Source organism: Homo sapiens, chromosome 7 (genome assembly GCF_000001405.40).
Source record: "Homo sapiens chromosome 7, GRCh38.p14 Primary Assembly".
Taxonomy (NCBI): domain Eukaryota; kingdom Metazoa; phylum Chordata; class Mammalia; order Primates; family Hominidae; genus Homo; species Homo sapiens.
Window position 1 is genome coordinate 144,207,135 of NC_000007.14, and position 19,329 is coordinate 144,226,463.

Genomic DNA, 19,329 nt, shown 5'->3' on the forward strand with positions numbered 1-19,329 from the left:
AGGGGCTAGGGATATAGTTGTGCACATGGTCTTTGATCTCAAGGACCTAGGTTATGCCCGCATAAACATTAAACAAATGATTACTTAATAATAAATTACTATAATTTTGATGGATGCTAAAAAGTGTGAACTCAAAAGTACCTGAGATAAGTCTCAAAGAAAGTTTAGAAAGTTTATTTTGCCAGAGTTAAGGATATACCCATGACAGGGTTTCAGGAGGTTCCGATGACGTGCCCGAGGTGGTCAGGGTACAGCTTGCTTTTATACATTTTTGGGGAGACATAATACATCAATCAATACATGTAAGATTTACATTGGTTCAATCTGGAAGGGTGGGACAATTTGAGGGCGGGGGTAGGAGGGCTTGCAGGTCATAGGTAGATTTATAAATTTTCTGATTTGTAACTGGTCAAAATAATTATTATCAATAGGAATGTCTGGGATATGTTAAGGGGTTGTGGAGACCAAGGTTTTATCATGTAGATGAAGCTTCCAAGTGGCAGGTTTCAGAGAGAATAGATGGTAAATGTTTCTTTTTTTTTTTTTTTTTTTTGCCAGGTCATTCAACATTTATTCAACCAAAAATACTAAGTCAGCTCTATACAAACTAATGGAAGGATACAGCTATGCAAATATAGAACACTAAAGTGTTACATGACAGATGTATGAGGTAGGTATTATTTTCATGCGCGTCCGTGTGAAGAGACCACCAAACAGGCTTTGTGTGAGCAACATGGCTGTTTATTTCACCTGGGTGCAGGCGGGCTGAGTCCGAAAAGAGAGTCAGTGAAGGGAGATAAGGGTGGGACCGTTTTATAGGATTTGGGTAGGTAAAGGAAAATTACAGTCAAAGGGGGTTTGTTCTCTGGTGGGTAGGAGTGGGGGTCGCAAGGTGCTCAGTGGGCAGGAGTGGGGGTCGCAAGGTGCTCAGTGGGGGTGCTTTTGAGCCAGGATGAGCCAGGAAAAGGACTTTCACAAGGTAATGTCATCAGTTAAGGCAAGGACCGGCCATTTACACTTCTTTTGTGGTGGAATGTCATCAGTTAAGGTGGGGCAGGGCATATTCACTTCTTTTGTGATTCTTCAGTTACTTCAGGCCATCTGGGCCTATACCTGCAAGTCACAGGGGATGTGATGGCTTGGCTTGGGCTCGGAGGCCTGACATTCCTGCCTTCTTATATTAATAAGAAAAATGAAACAAAATAGTGTTGAAGTGTTGGGGTGGCAAAAATTTTTGGGGGGTGATATGGAGAGAGAATGGGCGATGTTTCTCAGGGCTGCTTCAAGCGGGATTAGGGGCGGCGTGGGAACCTAGATTGGGAGAGATTAAGATTTTAGTTTCCTGACTCCGGACATGTTGAGTAAAGCTAATTTGCCAGTCCTGGGTGGGGGCAAATCCTCGAGCTTGCTGTGTAGGGAAGGAAGGGGGCCTGAATAATCCCTGAGGAATAGTAGAATAGCAGATGGAACACTGAGAAATTATTTCCTTGAGGATAGATTTCCATGATGGAAAGGAAATGAGAGGTTCTGAAAGGCGGGCTAGTGGCTTGTACTATAGCATAGCCTGCCTTTGCTGGTGTGTGGCGATTAGGCCTGGTGGAGCTGCCATCAGTAAATGAAGCGTGATCAGGGTGAGGAACAGGAAAGATATGGTAAATGTTTCTTATCAGGCCTTAGGTCTGTGTTGATGTTAGTGCCGGTCGGCTCTTCCTGAATTCCAAAAAAGAGGAGGGCATAATGAGGCATGTCTGACCCCCACTTCCATCACAGCCTGAAACAGTTTTTCAGCTTAACTTTGGAATGCCTTTGGCCTAGAGGAGGTGTCCTTTCAGATGGTTGGGAGGTCTCAGAATTTTGTCTTTGATTTCTGAAAGTATATATATATAAAACCTGAGAATGACCTCTTCTGGAGGGTTTGAGAAATCTGTAATTTGGAGGCAGGAGTGTCATTGAAGGAAAGCTAGAAAATTTCAGATCTGGAGGACAGAGGTGGAAATCCCATAGCAGAAGATGAAACTGAAGATGTGAGCAGAGACCAGGGATCACGTGGGCCTAGTAGACCATGTTAAGGAATTTGATCTTTATTTTGAGGGCAAGGTAATCCATTGAAGGATCTAAGGGAGAGTGACAGGGCCAGATTTTCATCTCAAAAAGATCACTTAAAGGTGCAGCAAGTTGTATCAATTCTTTCCCTTCTTTCTCTTTTTGAGATAGGGTCTCATTCTGTCACCCAGGCTGGAGTGCAGTGATGTGATCATGGCTCACTTCTGCCTCAACCTCCTGGGCTAAAGCCATCCTTCTACCTTGGTCTCCCCAATAGCTGGGACTACAGGCAGGCACCACCACACCTGGCTCATTTTTAATTTTTTTTGTAGACATGGGGTCTCACTATGTTGCACAGGCTGCTGTCAAACTCCAGGGCTCAAGTGATCCTCCCACCTCAGCCTCCCAAGGTGCTGGGATTGTAGGTATGAGCCACTGCACCCAGCCTATTCTCTCCTTTCTTATCTTTTGCTTGTATTTAGAAACCTTTGCTTTTACAGTTGCCCTCAGATTACACTCCCCTTTTCCCTACTTTCTATGAACTCTTACAAGTCCTCCAAGATCCATCTCTGTTGTTACCTTCTTGGTGAAGCCTTTTCTTATTCTCTCCTCCAAACATCCACACTCTTTAGAGCTAATGTATTTTATGTATGTATTTTTTAATTTATATGGTATACGTGCTGCTGAAGCGAGCACTAGAGCTAATCTCTATAAAGGCACTTTGTAGGTTTTATTGCAGTGTACCTATTTTGGTAAATTGGGGGAGGACAGTTGCAGAAAATAGAATTCCTTGAAATCTTCATGGCACGGTATCATTTGGTTTCTTTGGTTTGTTCAAGCTCCTGCCTTAGTTTACTTATTCCTTTCTTATTATAACGAATTCTGCACTGTTTGTATGTGTTTTTAATTTACATAAATGCTGTCTTTTATCGACTTTACACTTTTTACTTTTTAAAATTAGGACGAGTTTTAAACATCTACTCATTTTCCTTTGTGTATCTGTAGTCTTTTGCTTCTAACCAGTGCTTTTGTTCCACAGTCTGAATTCATCATATTTTACCTATTCTCACTTTCAATGGTGGCCACCCAAATCCTTTCACCTTCCCTGTATCACAAACGATGCTGTAATGGGCAGCCTTGTATACATCCTTTACGGACCTGTGTGAGAATTTCTGTGGGATGTGAACATCCAAGATCAGAATTCTGGGGTTGGAAAGCGATGGTGTGCTTATTTAGCCAGATCCTGGCTGTTGCTCCCTCGAATGGCTGCACTGACTGTGTGTTCATCACAGTGCAAGAGTCTTTGTAGCCCCATGTCCCCAACAACACTGGGCATGTTTTGATCAGTTGAGTAGCTTCAAAGCGGTATTACACTGCTGTTTAATTTTCATTTCTCTGGTTACTAGTGGGTTGAGGATCTCAGTAAATTTGTTGTCATGTGATTATTCACATTGCCTATCATGCCTTTGTCTACTTTTCTGTTGAGTTACTCTCATTTTCCTGTTGCCTTGCAAAACTTTCTTGTATCCTTGCAAAACTTTCTTGTTGCCTTGCAAAAGCCTAGGTGGAAGGATGGCTTGAGCCAAGGAGGTTGAGGCTGCTGTGAGCCAGGATCATGTCACTGTACTCCAGCCTGGGTGACAGAATGAGACCCTATCTCAAAAAGAAAAAGAAAAAGAAGAGAAAGAGTAGATACAGTTTGCTGCACCCTTAGGTGATCTTTTTGAGTTGCAAATCTGGCCCTGTCACTTGTATAATCTCAATGTTAGTTATCTGTAAGTTTTAGATATTGAAAACATTGTCTCCTAGTAATCTGAACAGAAATGTGTAACAATTTTGCCACACATTAATTCTTCTATATTATCTTAACAGCTTTATTTTCCATCCTGAGTCTGTTTTTTAGTCTAATGATATTGAGTAGATACTTAATTATGTCAGTCTATTATGTCAGTTTTTAAACTCCAATGTTCATCTTTTCTTGATTTATGCTACCAACTTTATTATGTATTACATTCTTATAAGTAGATGAGTCTGTTTCTGACGCTTGCCCTCTGTTCTGTTCTACTTGTCCATTTAAATGTTCTTGCTTGAAATTGTTTCTATGACAGTGGCTTTGTAGTACATCCATGGATTTGGTTGGGACACTCCCTCCCCTACTTCTACTTTTCTCCTCTTTCTCAACGTTTATTTAGTTATTTGTGGACCTTTATTTTTCCATGTAGATTATAGAGGTTTTCAGAGATCCTCAGAAAACCCAACTGAAATCTTACTTGAGGTTAATTTGGGGGAGAATTGAGATTTTATGATAATAAACCACCCTTCCCAAAAGTATAGACTGTCTCCCCAATTATTCTTCTCATCTTATATGTTCTTTAGACTAATTTAAAACTTTTTCTTTATTTTTTTATTAAATAAGGTTATCAATACTTTATAGATTTTTATGCTATTGTGAATTAGATCTTATTTTTGAATTCTGTTTTTCTAGTGAGTTTTCCTTGTCTAGAGAAATGTTCTTGATTTTAATTTATTCGCTATGCTGTGTTTCTCAAGAGCAGAGGCTGCATCTTTCGTCTCTGTATTCCCAGTGTTTAAAACATTGCATGGTAAGTGATCAATGAATGTTTGTTTGTTGAATGAATGAATGAATGAGCAGGATACATAAAGCAGAATGGGCTGCTATGATATTTGGGTCCATATAGAGGCTTCATGGCAACATCCACGACAGTTCCAGTAGACACCCCACCACAAGGACCAAGGGAAGGGGCAGCCAATTCCTTTACATGGCTATCTTCCTCGGTGTGATCAATTAATTCCCCAAAGTGGCTCAATTAGCCTTAGTTGGTACCCTCCCCAGTTTTCCTCAGACCACATAGATGTTTTTGAACATAGCTTTTTGCTATTTACTATGGCTTCTTCTGGACACCCACTCTTAGCTCAAATTTACACATGCATTTTGGAAGCCTTCACTGCCAGAGTGGTGGTCAGACTAAAAAGCTTGACTTGGGTCTCCAAGCCATAGTTATGAAGTACCATAGGATTGGTTGTCTTCCTGGTACTTTCTTCTCCTCAGAAATGAAGCAAGCACTTAGACCTCTTAACTGCTGATGAGCTGAGCTTGGATCCCTAAAAGCGGAAAAGAGAATTTGAATACCAAGACCCAGCTACCCTTAGGACTGGAGCAAGATTGGACACAGGTATAGGTGCTCTTGGTAATGTTAGACAAAGGCAAAGGCAACACACAAGGAAAGTTAGGCTTTTAAAATGACAGTTCATTTATTTTACAAAAATTGTACTGAGTGCAATATAAAGGCCTTTCACAGTCTGACTCCTGCCTTCATTCCCAGGCTTCCCCTTGGTCACTATCTTTTTCTGTCTCTACCATACATGCTTTGTGCTCAAGCCATACCTGATTGTTTGTCAAACCATTATATGCCAGTTCTTTTTTTATTCCTGGATCTTCCTAGACAGTATTCTCTGTGTCTAAAATGCTCTTCCTACCTTTCTCTGTCTATTTATCAAACCTCTATTAATTCTTTTCAATGATGAATTCATGTTACCTTATCTCTGAAACTTTTCCTGACTTCTCCAAGTAGAATGGTTATCTTTCATTCTGTGGCACCTTAACGTATTCAGTATAGCCTTCTGTTAGTACATTTTTAATGCTGTGATATTGTAACTAATTTATTTTTATTTTCTTGTCTGCTTATTTTCCATTGCAAGCTTCTTAAGATTTGGGACCATACATTCTCTATCTTTGTGACTGAAAGCTGAGCATAGCTTCTAGTATGCAGTAGGTGATCAGTTAGCAAATAATTGATTAAGTTGAACAAATAATTGAGTAAGTTCACCATGAAGAGAATGAGATTTTGATCCTATACTGGTCATGTGGTTCTAGAAAAGCAACTAATCTTTCTATTCATCTGTAAAATAAATTTATATATGTATTTGCTGAATTGTGAAGATGTTATATTAGTCATCTTGGGTTGCTGTAACCAAATCCCATAGGCTGGTTGGCTCAAACAACAGACGCTTATTTCTCACAGTTCTGGAGGCTAGTAAGTCCAAGATCAAGATGCCAATAGATTTGACTCATGATGGGGGCTCTCTTCCTGGCTTGCAGATGGCTGCCTTCTCATATTCTGCAGAGAGAAAGGTCTGGTGTCTCTTCCTCTAGTTATAAGGGCACTAATCCCATCAAGGGGGATCTACCCTCCTGACCTCATCTAAGCACAATTATTTTCCAAATGCCCCACCTCCCAATACCATTGCATTGAGGTTAGAGCTTCCTATGTGAATGGGAGGGTGGAGGAAAGAACACGAACATTCAGTTTATTACATATCTTATAAAATATTATGAATCTGGTTAAAGTATTTTCAAAGAAATGTTTTAACTATGGAGACCAGATGAGTGAACAATGAACCTTGCCATAAATATGACAGCAGAGAAAAAATGACTATCCTTGATATGGTTTGGCTATGTCCCCACCCAAATCTCAACTTGAATTGTGTCTCCCAGAATTCCCACATGTTATGGGAGGGACCCACGGGGAGGTAATTGAATCTGAAATGCTCTTCCTATCTTTCTATGCTTATTTATCAGTCCTCTGCTAATTCTTTTCAATGATTGATTCAATGATGAATTCCCATGCTATTCTCATGATAGTGAATTAAGTCTCACGAGATCTGATGGGTTTATCAGGGGTTTGCACCTTTACTTCTCTCTCGTTTTCTCTTGCCACTGCCATGTAAGAAGTGCCTTTTGCCTCCCACCATGATTCTGAGGCCTCCCCAGCCATGTGCAACTGTAAGTCCAGTTAAACCTCTTTTTCTTCCCAGTCTTGGATATGTCTTTATCAGCAGTATGAAAACTGACTAATACAGTAAATTGGTACCAGTGGAGTGGGGCGCTGCTGAAAAGATACCTGAAAATGTGGAAGCGACTTTGGAACTGGGTAACAGGCAGAGGTTGAAACAGTTTGGAGGGCTCAGAAGAAGACAAGAAAATGTGGGAAAGTTTGGAACTTCCTAAAGACTTGTTGAATGGCTTTGACAAAAATGCTGATACTGCTATGGACAATAAGGTCCAGGCTGAGGTGGTCTCAGATGGAGATGAGGAACTTGTAGGGAACTGGAACAAAGATGACTGTTGTTATGTTTTAGCAAAGAGACTGGTGGCATTTTGCCCCTACCATAGAGATTTGTGGAACTTTGATCTTGAGAGAGGTGATTTAGGGTATCTGGCTGAAGAAATTTCTAAGCAGCAAAGCATTCAAGAGGTGATTTGGGTGCTGTTAAAAGCATTTCATTTTAAAAGGGAAACAGCATAAAAATTTGGAAAATTTGCAGCCAGTTGATGCAGCAGAAGAGAGAAACCTGTTTTTTGAGGAGAAATTCAAGCTGGCTGCAGAAATTTGCATAAGTTACAGGGAGCTGAATGTTAATCTCCAAGACAATGGGGAAAATGTCTCCAGGGCATGTCACAGGTCTTCATGGCAGCCCCTCCCATCACAGACCCTGAAGACTAGGAGGAAAAAATGGTTTTGTGGGCCAGGCCCAGGGTCCCCATGCTGTGTGCAGCCTAGGGACTTGGTGCCCTGCATCCCAGCTGCTCCAGCCATTGCTAAAAGGGCCGAGGTACAGCTCTGCCCGTGGTTTCAGAGGGTGCAAGCCCCAAACCTTGGCAGCTTCCATGTGGTGTTGAGCCTGCAGGTGCATGGAAGTCAAGAATTGAGGTTTGGGAACCTCCATCTAGATTTCAGAAGATGTATGGAATCACCTGGATGCTCAGGCAAAAGTTTGCTCCAGGGGCAGAGCCTTCATGGAGAACCTCTGCTAGGGCAGTGTGAAGGGAAATGTGGGGTTGGAGCCCCCACACAGAATCCCTACTGGGGCACCACCTAGTGGAGCTGTGCAAAGAAGGCCACCGTCCTTCAGACCCCAGAATGGTAGATCCACCGACAGCTTGTACCGTGCACCTGGAAAAGCCACAGACCCTAAACGCCAGCCCGTGAAAGCAGCCAGGAGTGGGGACTATACCCTGTGAAGCCACAGGGGCAGAGCTGCCCAAGACTAAGGGAACCTACCTCTTGCATCATTGTGACCTGGATGTGAGACATGGAGTCAGAGGAGATCATTTTGGAACGTTATAATTTGACTGCCTCGCTGGATTTTGGACTTGCATGGGGCTTGTAACGCCTTTGTTGTGGGCACTTTCTCCCATTTGGAATGGCTGTATTTACCCATTACCTGTATCCCCATTGTATGTAGGAAGTAACTAGCTTGCTTTTGATTTTACAGGATCATGGGTAGAAGGGACTTGCCTTGTTTCAGATGAGACTTTGGACTACGGACTTTTGGGTTAATGCTGAGATGAGTTAAGACTTTGGGGGACTGTTTGGAAGGCATGATTGGTTTTGAAATGTGAGAACATGAGATTTGGAGGGGCCAGGGGCAGAATGATATGGTTTGGCTGTGCCCCCACCCAAATCTCAACTTGAATTGTTATCTCCCAGAATTCCCAGGTGTTGTGGGAGGGACCCAGGGGGAGGTAATTGAATCATGGGGGCCGGTCTTTCCCATGCTATTTTTGTGATAGTGAATAAGTCTCAGGAGATCTGATGGGTTTATCAGGAGTTTCTGCTTTTGTTTCTCTCTCATTGTCTCTTGCCGCTGCCATATAAGAAGTACCTTTTGCCTCCCACTGTGATTCTGAGGCCTCCCCAGCCATGTGCAACTGTAAGTCCAATGAAACCTCTTTTTCTCCTCAGTTTTGGGTATGTCTTTATCAGCAGCGTGAAAATGGACTAATACGATCACCCTCTTCTTTGTTCTCCTTTCTATTTCATCTCTAATTTTTTTTGGCATTTGGAGGGTGCTATACATTGCAAAAGTTGGGGACTCACTAATTCCACTGCTCACTGTATATCAAGGTAATCTGTCAGGGGTTTGGTTTTATATAAGAAACAAATGAGTCCCCAGAACATACAAGTTAAGATTATTCAATCAAGGGAGGCAGTCATTACCCTTTAACCTCTGAAAGAAAACTGCAAGTAGGCATCAAACTAACCCTGAGATGGGAGAGAGTAGAAGTTCCCACACCCAGTGAATTGTAGGACATTAGGTAATTATTGGTGGGAAGTAAATTTGAGTGGGGAACTGAATTTCAACTGACTTTTATCCTTGAAGATGGTGCTTCTATTTTCTCAAATTAGAAGGTTATGAAAATTGCATCTGAACAACAAGTTGTATTAGCATAAGTTCTAGAAGAAACTGAGAAAGCAAGGCTAGTCTGAGGAAAATTTATACCGCTCACATTTCCCTTCTGAATTGGAGAATAGAATTGAATAGCAAAATTGTAACCTACCTTTCAAAGATGCATTTTATAGTGAAGTATATTTTGTGAACTTTTATATCTTCTATTCTTATTTTTCTATTGCCCTATTTTAAAATCTATCTTGAATTTATTAAATGTATATGTCTCTGTTTATATATTTATGAGTAATATGGTAGTCTTTTTGGTATCAGATGAGAACCCAACACACACAAATACATACTGACACATACAAAGATGTTTATACTGCCTCTTACATCTGTCGGAAGAGAGAGGGTTCCAAGAATTCCTGTGATGAGGGCTTAAAGCCAAATATTTTTGTTATCATTTTATACATATATATTTTATTTTTTTTCTATTTGGGAGAAGCTAGAAAACACACATTACTTTTTTTTGTATCTTTTCTGTTTTAGACTAAAATCTGCTGCTATTCAAAGAATAAATTGTATCTTTGTGTATTCTGATAGACATAATAAGTAAGTTGTGTAAGTTATAAGTATGTATAAGTAAGTTGTATCTTTGTGTACTCTTCTTCTGATAGACATAATAATATAAGACAAACCCAATAACAGCATGCTGTTTATTTTGAACACAGAAATGTCTTTAGTTCAGCCTAACTCTGTCCTTCCTTTTTGCTGATAGAAAGTCTTCGGCCTCATCCCTCGTCTCACGTCCTTGATGCCTATTTCTTGAGGTGTTCCATCCACTGTCAAAGTCCCCAGTCAGTGATTGTTCTTAGGTATGAGTATTCTTTTCCATCCTAATCCATGTTATCCCACTTATCTTCCAAAAGGCATCCTCTACTCCTAGAGCAGCACAACAGGTTTCCTTCTCTACTCTTGATGGTGAGCCCAGAGTACCCTGTTGTCTCTGTGGCCCTAGGCTTCCACTTACCCTGCCCTTACCTCTGTGGCAGTGGAGAGGATATGGTAGCAAAAGAGAGCAGGAGTGATCCACCATGTCCAGTCATCCTAGGGGATTGGTTCCAAGGACCCTTCCCACCCCCTGCAGATACCAAAATCCCCAGATGCTCAAGTCTCTGACATAAAATGGCTTAGTCTTTGCCTATAACCTATGCACATCCTCCTGTACACTTTAAGACATCTCTAGATTAATAGCTAGTACAATGTAAATCCTATGAAAATAGTCGTTATACTGTGTTGTTTAGGGAACGATAACAAGAAAAAAAGTCTGTACATTTTCAGTACAGACACAACCATCCATTTTTCTTTCCTGAATTTTTTGATCCATTGTTGGTTGAAGCTACGATGTGGAGCCTGTGGATAAGGAGGGCTGACTGTACAGCTATGTCACATTTTTGACTGCCAAGGCACAGAGGCACAGAATAAAATAGAGAAAAATGGAGACAAGAATAAAGATGAGACCGGTGTAGTGGCTCACGCCTGTAATCTCAGCACTTTGGGAGGTGGAGGCGGAAGGACTGCTTGAGCCCGGGAGTTCAAGACCAGCTTGGGAAACATAGTGGGACCCTATCTCTATTTAAAATTTTTTTTTTCTTTTTGAGACAGAGTCTCGCTCTGTCACCCAGGCTGGAGTGCAGTGGTGTGATCTCAGCACACTGCAACCTCCACCTCCCAGGTTCAAGCGATTCTCCTGTCGCAGCCTCCCGAGTAGCTGGGACTATAGATGCCCACCACCACTCCCGGCTAATTTTTGTGTTTTTAGTAGAGGTGGGGTTTCACCATGTTGGCCAGGCTGATCGCAAACTCCTGATCTCAAATGTTCCACCCACCTTGGCCTCCCAAAGTGCTGGGATTACAGGTATGAGCCATCACGCCTGGACAGAAAAAATTTTTTTAAAGAATAAAGATGAATAGGAAGGGAGGTGCCATTCACTTCAGCAGAGACATCCTTCTATTTCCCTTGTGATGCAAATATTCCCACCTCTATGACTCTGTCAGGAGAGGGATACTGAAGATGTTAAAGTCATTAAAACAAGATATTAAAAAAAATCAGAACAGTTTAATCCTGTCCTGGTAGAGATGATCAAACAACTCCAAAGAGGTGATGACTTAACATATTTCTAGGTCCAAGTAGTGGCCAACCGGGGCCAGCATCCTCCCAGTCACCCAGGCTGCCAACCAAGGTGGCTGAATACTTGCTTGAGATTGCCAGCATTTGTGATATCATCACTGTGCATAATTTCAAGGTAGGATCCTCATTGCTGTGGGCTATAAAATGGACTCTGCCCACCACACCCCCCCGCCAACACTTGGCACACTTAGATGGAAATGGAAAAATGGTATTCTAAAACATTCTGTTGCATTATTATTTGTACCCCTAGGCAGGTGTGATTCATGTAGGACAGAGTGGCAAGGAAAGGCTCTATTGAAGGGGTGAGCCTTGAGCTGCCCCTGGGTGGAAGTGTGGGTGGCCATGGGAGCTGCATTTCCATGGTGGTGGGAGCTCTGGGCCACTCCTCAATCCCATGTCTGACACACACACACACACACACACACACACACCCACTCCTGATAGTAGGAAGAGCAGTATTTTGGACAAAGAGGAGGCTGAAGGCTGCATGACGCCTTGAGACATCAACTCAGGTATGTGTGGAGGTGGCGGAAAGTATTATTACCTGGAACAATCTTCACCCTTTAGGCCTAAATCAACCTCCACCTCCACCGGGACGTTTTTGCACAATGTGTTTCTTTGACAGACTCACCAGAGCGTATGCACATTTGGTTCTCCATTAGAAACATATTTTGTATTTCTAGTTCCTAAAGGAAATGTGAGTTTTGTACTTAGCAGAAGCTATAGCACCATCTTGTGGAAATAAATGCATTGGATCACAAGCTTGCTCTGAAAATTTTAGTCATCTTAAAAAAAAAAGTAAATCTTGATATGACTTCATAGCTCTAAATCACTCCTGGAATGCACAATCTATTAGTAGCAAAAGACTTCTCATATATTCTAATTGTATGAGGGTGGAGTTAGCATTCTCCACCAGCTGCAGCTTTCTTTCTGTTTTGCTTTCGAGGTAGGGTCTTACTCTGTCCCCCAGGCTGGAGTGCAGTGGTGTGATCATAGCTCAATACAGTCTCGAAGTCCCAGGCTCAAGCAATTCTCCTGCATCAGTCTCCCGAGTAGCATAGTGTGCCACTATACCCAGCTAATTTTTTGTAGAGATGGGGTCTCTCTATGCTGCCCAGGCTGGCACTGGCAACTTTCTTCTTTTTAGAATAATTACCGTACTTAGGATCCAATATTCTTCCCATCTCACTTGTTTTAGAATGTGTGTCCTCAGGTTTGGATTTTAATCATGTCCCGAGGGATCTTGCCTTCTAAATAAAGGAACACTCACTGGGTACCAATGTTCTTTTCTGTCTCCTCTGGTGAATCAGACACTTCTCTTCTTAATAGAGTTCATTGATAAAGGGCTTGGGAAAAGGAGGTCCCTTCATTATTGAGAATCTAAAGCATTGGATTGGGAGCCCACAGAAGAACTGGAACAGAGGCTGAGGCAGGAGGATCACTTGAGCCCAGGAGTTCGAGGTTGTAATGAACTGTAATCGCACCACTACACTCCAGCCTGGGTGACGGAGTGAGACCCCATCTCAAAAAAAAAAAAAAGTCCCTGGAAAAGGTTTTATTTAGAATCACGAAATCATTGAATCATTTAATAAATAATGAGTCTTTTTAATGTAAGTAGTATACCCTCCAGTGGAGGGGAAAAAATGCCCAATGTTCTCAACCTTTCTTATCCCTAGTTTGATCTGCATCAAACGTGGAATTGATGTAAAGCTTTGGGGCTTCACCAGGCTTCCCTCTGAACAGTCTCAGGCTTGATTAGAATTTAAGGCTGGTGTGAATTTTGCAAATTTTAAAGATCTATGTTTATCTTCAAGACATATTTTGAAAAAATTACACATTGACATCCTTCAAAAAAGCTAAAAGCACAGAAGTAAATGTCTGCCTCCACATGTTTCCCAGCTATCCAATTATCTTCTCTCAAGGCACCAATATTACAAGTTGTTTGTGAAATGCTTCCAAAAATATTTTGCACTTACAGGAAATATATTACATCAATGATAGTCCACAAAATATTTCAAAACTTGCATTTTTCATTTAAAAATATAGGTTGAAGATTGTTCTATATTAGCACATAGTTTCCTTATTTATTTTTCAGCTGTACAAGATTTTATTGAATGGGTGTAGTCTCCTGCTGAGGTTTTTCCCAGTAGTTTGGCAGTACAAACAATGCTGCAGTGAATAACCTTTACATCTGTTGCATAGCACACATGCTAGTCTACCTGTGGGCTATATTCCTGGAAGTAGAATTGCTGTGTCAAATGGTGCATTTGTAATTGTGGGAGACTTTGGCAAACTTTTCTCCATGCAGGTCATTTATACCAAATTACAGCAATGTATGACACTCCATGCCTCACTAACTGTATGTTTTTAAAACTTTTTTTTTTCTGAGACAGGGTCTCACTCTGTTGCCCAGGCTGGAGTGCAATGGCGTGATTACAGCTCACTGCAGCTTCGACTTCCCAGGCTCAAGTAATCCTGCCACCTCAGCCTCCCACAGGAATGCACCACTATGCATGGCTGATTTTTTACTTTTTGTAGACAGAGTCTCCCTATGTTGCCCAAGGTAGTCTTGAACTCCTGGGCTCAAGTGATCCTCCCACCTCAGCCTCCCAAAGTGCTGATATTACAGGCATGAGCCACCACACCCAGCCTTTAAAACTTTTTGACTTTGCTAATGTAATAGGTGAAATATTATATTTCAGTGGTTACTGTTGTCATTTTTGCAGTGTTCCTTTTATGAATTTGGTTATAGGAACTCAAATTTTTCATGAGGCCTGGTCACCTAGTCAGTTATCTTTCTCCAGAGCTATTTTGGCAAATACATTGATTTTTTTAAAATTAAGTTTTATGAATAGATATAAATGACTCAGATTTCAATCAGCTTTCAAAAATATTTTTTTTGTATTCTCCCTTTCCTACTTGTCCCCAGTAGTGGATTTACCATGAAGCTAGCAAAGCTTAAGCTTAGAACCCCTTCCAAGAGTCCCTTCCAAAGCTCTGAACTAATTTTGTATTCATACATTCACATTCTGTTTCTTAAAGAAGCTGCCCCAAATTGTATAAGCTTCAGGCCTAGATATGCCGCTGCTTGTCACCGTCTTCCCTGTTTTCAACCTCTCTCTTCCTAGTTTCTTCTGTATTCCTCTAGAATGACTTTATGCATATGTAAGCACATCTAGATAGAGTTTATCCACCCCCTTCCTTTTTTCTTGCTTTTCTGAATGGGTCTTGGAGATTTTTCAATGTAAGATCTAGAGACCATCCATATTGTTTACTGTTGGTTGATAATTTTATGGTATTCCATTGTATGAAGATACTGGTCTTTACTTAATCAGTCCTGTATTGGTGGAACTTAGTGGACATTTGTTTTGTTTGTTTTTTGCATTAAGAAAAGCTCCTGGCAGGTTTCAGAGACTTAAATGACAGCTAAAAATCTGGTGGGATTACAGGTTTCAGAAGTGACAAGGTTTAAAATAGATGAAATTGTTGGGGGAGCCCTAGCCTCCCTTCCTGCACACCCTCTTCAGGTATCTAGGACTCGAAGTCTTATCAAAACAGGACACTTATTACCTGCTAGTCACAACCTATCTATATGAACATATACATTGGCGTGGGAAGTTTGTCTGTGATTGTGAAACAAGATTGTCTTGCTAAAGACATTCTGAATATGTGAAGGCAGGAGGGAGAGATAATTGTAAGGCTTTGAGTGCCTCTAAAATCCTACTGGATAGTTGTTGGCTTCAAAAAAAGGCAGATAGCTTCTGAGGTCATAGTATTCCATCAGTGGCATTGCTACAGCCTGCTAACTGACTTTCATTGCCCACACGCTAACATTTTGTTCTGCTGTATCTGATGGGGAAGGGTTGAGCCACGCAGGCATGGAGTGCTAGATGTCTTCTGCATGCCAGAAGAGTTCATTACTTAGTATTTTAACCCTTCATTTACCTGATTTTATTTATTTATTTATTTTTGAGACGGAATCTCCCTCTGCCACCCAGGCTGGAGTGCAATGGTGCAATCTCGGCTCACTGCAACCTCTGCCTCCCGGGTTCAAGTGATAATTCTGCCTCAGCCTCCCGAGTAGCTGGTTTTACAGGCATGCGCCATGACGCCCGGCTAATTTTTGTATTTTTAGTAGAGATGGGGTTTCACCATGTTGGCAAGGCTGGTCTCGAAGTCCTGCCCTCAAGTGATCCACCCGCCTTGGCCTCCCGAAGTGCTGGGATTGCAGGCATGAGCCACTGCACCTGGCCTTTCATCCACCTTAGTCATCACTTCCTTTCTTCTCTTCCAGTTCAATGCAAACACCATGGGAAACACATTTGGGATAGCTGGAAATTCAGCCTGTTTATTCTCTCTACCCCCTTAAAGCATGGAATGGCTGATCTCCTATCACAACCCACTTTTTGAGAAGAAAGGATCATACACCTGTCTGATTTGGTTACCTCAAATCCAGTCCTATTGCCCAGTATTACCTTTTGTTCATATGTCCTTGTTTGGCTCTTTCCTAGAACTGCCTTCCCTGGGACTAAATTGTAGTGGGTTTTAGTTTAAGATACCACATTAAATTTTTTAAAACACTTTTAATATTTGTGGGTACATAGTAGGTGTATATCCTTTACCTCTTTTATAAGGGATCAGGTAAATAATACATAGAGAAAGTAAGGAAGGAGAAAACAAAGGTGAGAGAAGAGAATAGATGGATCTCAATGCTTCATGATTAAGAATAACTTTTAGTACTTCTTTTCAGCTTACAAAGTGCTGTGTATATTACCTTTTGTGAAGCTCACATTTCCTTGAAATAAATGGGGTGGTGTCTTATCACCATTTTACAGACAGGGAAGGAAAATTAGGATAAGGCTGATCATGGCGCACCTGAATCCAGGTTTATAGGATTTCCCAACATCTTGAGACTTGATGGTTCAGGGTTGACTTTGTCTGGGTCCCTCAGAAGGTAATCAGGGCAGTAGCAGTTTCAGAATGTTTGTACTGAAATGGGGGCTAGGGGATTTGTCTTGAAGCTCTATTTGGATTGTATTTCAGATAAAATTGAAAAAAAATCTACTGTCTGATAAAATTGAAAAAAATTCAGGTAAAATTGAAATATTCAGATAAAATTGAAAAAAAATTCTATGGAGGTGCTGATGATGGAGAGCTGTGGAGGAGTCCCAAGTCTCTTGGTCCCTCTACTTCTTTTGAGTTTTACTATTGTCCTGAAGAGGCAGAGAGCTAGAAACTCAGAACCTCTGATTCCCTGTGGCACAGGCTGCTAGATGTTTATCAGAATTGTTCCTCTTATGCCTGGGTATACAGACCACATTTCTCAGAATCACTTGCATTTTTTATTGCCATGGTGACCAAATTTTAGCCAATGGGATGTGAGCAGAAATAAAGAGTCCACTTTTGGGCCAGGTCACTGAAACTTTCATGCTTTGTCTCCCTCCAACACACATGACAATAATGGGAACCATGTGGAAATGAGGGCAGATCCATGAGGTGTAAGGACCCTGGGTCCCTGAATCACCAATTGATGGCGTGATGTCTGCTGGTCAGGAAAACCTCCTCTGAACAAGGAATGAACATTGGTTTACTGTAAAATTTTCAAATAATGCAATATTCTTTCCCATGGTTCAGTCTACATTTTGAGAGGTCTCTTCTTTAAGTCTTTAATGTGTATTATTTTAAACATTTTCCCATGCTTTAGTATATGTCTCTATATATATTCTCACACATACACATATCTATAGGTTTTTAAGTGAATGAGAAAGCACAGTATCAATATACTTTGTTTCCTCACTTCACATTTTGTGAAAATTTTGCTTATGGTAATATTAGTTTATATGTTAACTGTACATTAATATCTAATTAGATGTTAATATACTAGTAAAACTTATTTATATTAAGAGTTGCATAATATTTCATTGTATATATTTGCAATGTTTTATTTAATAACCTCACTATTGATATTAGGTTATTTATCAATTTACAAGTATTGCTTCTGCTTAAAATATATGTACATGTATATATTTATGCATATGGGAATATTTCTGTAGGATATGTTCTTAGAATTGAAATTGCTGCATCAAAAGGTATGCACATTTTATTTTTTGAGGCCGGGCACAGTGGCTCATGCCTGTAATCCCAGCACTTTGGGAGACTGAGGAGGGAGGATCACTTGAGCCCAGGAATTCAATACCAGCCTAAGCAATATAGACCCCATCTCTACCAACCAACAACAACAAAATTAGCCAGGCATGGTGGCTTGCACCTGTAGTTCCAGCTACTCTGGAGGCTGAGGTCGGAGGCTGTTTTCAGCTCAGGAGTCCGAGGCTGCAGTGAGCTGTGATTGCATCACTGTACTCCAGCCTGGGCAACAGAGTGAAACCCTGTCTCTGAAAAATCAAAACAAAACTAACAATTTAGTTTTTGAAGAGACATGACCAAATTTCCCCGAAATCTATTAAGACTGTGGGGAAGTATCCACTTGCCTACATGCTTAGCGATGCTAGAAAGTATCCATCTTTTAATTTTTGTCCATCTAATGGGTGAAAAATGGTATCTTGTGCTTTAAAATTTATTACTTACTAGAGGAACTATACATCTTTCATTACATTTATTATTCTCTGTCACTTGTTCTACTGTAAATAGTTTATCTGTCTCTACTTGTATCTATGTGTTTTTTTCCAATAAAAAACTGGTTTGTGTATTACTATTTTGCTTGTTATATATATTGGGGACTACGTTAGCTATATTTTAATCATTTTCTTAAAGCTGATTTTCTTTTCTTTGTGTGTGGTAAAGATGGTGGACTTTTTAAACGTTTTATTTTTTTCTGCCGGCTGCAGTGGCTCATGCCTATAATCCCAGCACTTTGGGAGGCTGAGGCGGGTGGATCACCTGAGGTCAGGCATTCAACACCAGCCTGGACAACATGGTGAAACCCTGTCTCTATTAAAAATGCAAAAAAGTAGGCAGGCATGGTGGTGGCCGCCTGTAATTCCAGCTACTCAGGAGCCTGAGGCAGGAGAAGCCCTTGAATCGGGAGGTGGATGTTGCAGTGAGCTGAGATTGTGCCATTGCACTCCAGCCTGGGCGACAAGAGCAAAACTCCATCTCAAAAATAAATAAATAAATAAATAAAATTAAGTAAAATAAGTGTTTTATTTTTTAATTGACAAAATTGTATAGATTTACCATGTAGAAAATGATATTTTGAAATGTATGTACATTGTGGAATGACTAAATTGGGCAAATTACCATATGAATTATCTAACACCCTTGTCATTTTTATGGTGAGAACACTTAAAATCTACTCTGTCAACATTTTTCACAATACAATCTATTGTTATTAGCTATCATCACCAAGTTGTACAATAGATCTCAAGGCTGATTTTCTTGATCCTTACTTAACTGTTCACAGAAAAAGATTCTGTAAGTCCAGGATAGAGGGAGGCCATATGACCCAGTGGTTATGGAGTCAGGCTCACCTGGATTAGAGTCCAAGTTATGTCAGATACTTGCTGTGTGACCATAGAAAAGTTTCTTACTATCTCTGAACCTCTATCTCTTCTTTTGTAATAATAATAATAAAAGTACTAGAATTGTTATGAAGTTGAGACATGATAATGATGCATGTACCTTAGCACAATGCCTGACATTTCATAAGCTCTCAGCAAATACTAGCTCTTAAAAGTATATCTACAATGTGGGTAATATGGGTACAAAACTAGATATTTATGTTTTAGTCTAGTTCCTAGAACCATTCCCAATCAAAGTTATTCCTAGTAATATTCTTTCCTTAAGGTGGGCATTTCGTGTTACCTTTTAGCCAGTCTTATGAAATTTCTATTTCCCAGAGCACTAAAATAGTCAACTAATTAATTACTTCAGTATGTACTATT

General features: G+C 40.6%; 1 long non-coding RNA gene across 1 annotated transcript in view, besides 3 other annotated features; it reads left to right on the forward strand.

The window, feature by feature from the left end:
• ARHGEF35-AS1 (ARHGEF35 antisense RNA 1) overlaps positions 1–19,329 on the forward strand; it is a 104,269-nt gene that overhangs the window by 11,814 nt on the left and 73,126 nt on the right. Inside the window, exon 2 of the long non-coding RNA NR_126022.1 lies at positions 559–670. This is a non-coding gene — a long non-coding RNA (ARHGEF35 antisense RNA 1). The remainder of the gene's footprint in view (positions 1–558; positions 671–19,329) is intronic.
• Positions 303–931: an enhancer, noted in NCBI's record as "OCT4-NANOG-H3K27ac hESC enhancer chr7:143904530-143905158 (GRCh37/hg19 assembly coordinates)". NCBI's record gives its function as "activates a minimal SCP1, AML or CMV promoter by ChIP-STARR-seq in naive and primed H9 embryonic stem cells {active_cell/tissue: H9 hESC(naive and primed)}" and the evidence as "EXISTENCE:reporter gene assay evidence [ECO:0000049][PMID:30033119]".
• Positions 932–1,559: an enhancer, noted in NCBI's record as "OCT4-NANOG-H3K27ac-H3K4me1 hESC enhancer chr7:143905159-143905786 (GRCh37/hg19 assembly coordinates)". NCBI's record gives its function as "activates a minimal SCP1, AML or CMV promoter by ChIP-STARR-seq in naive and primed H9 embryonic stem cells {active_cell/tissue: H9 hESC(naive and primed)}" and the evidence as "EXISTENCE:reporter gene assay evidence [ECO:0000049][PMID:30033119]".
• Positions 2,188–2,815: an enhancer, noted in NCBI's record as "H3K27ac-H3K4me1 hESC enhancer chr7:143906415-143907042 (GRCh37/hg19 assembly coordinates)". NCBI's record gives its function as "activates a minimal SCP1, AML or CMV promoter by ChIP-STARR-seq in primed H9 embryonic stem cells {active_cell/tissue: H9 hESC(primed)}" and the evidence as "EXISTENCE:reporter gene assay evidence [ECO:0000049][PMID:30033119]".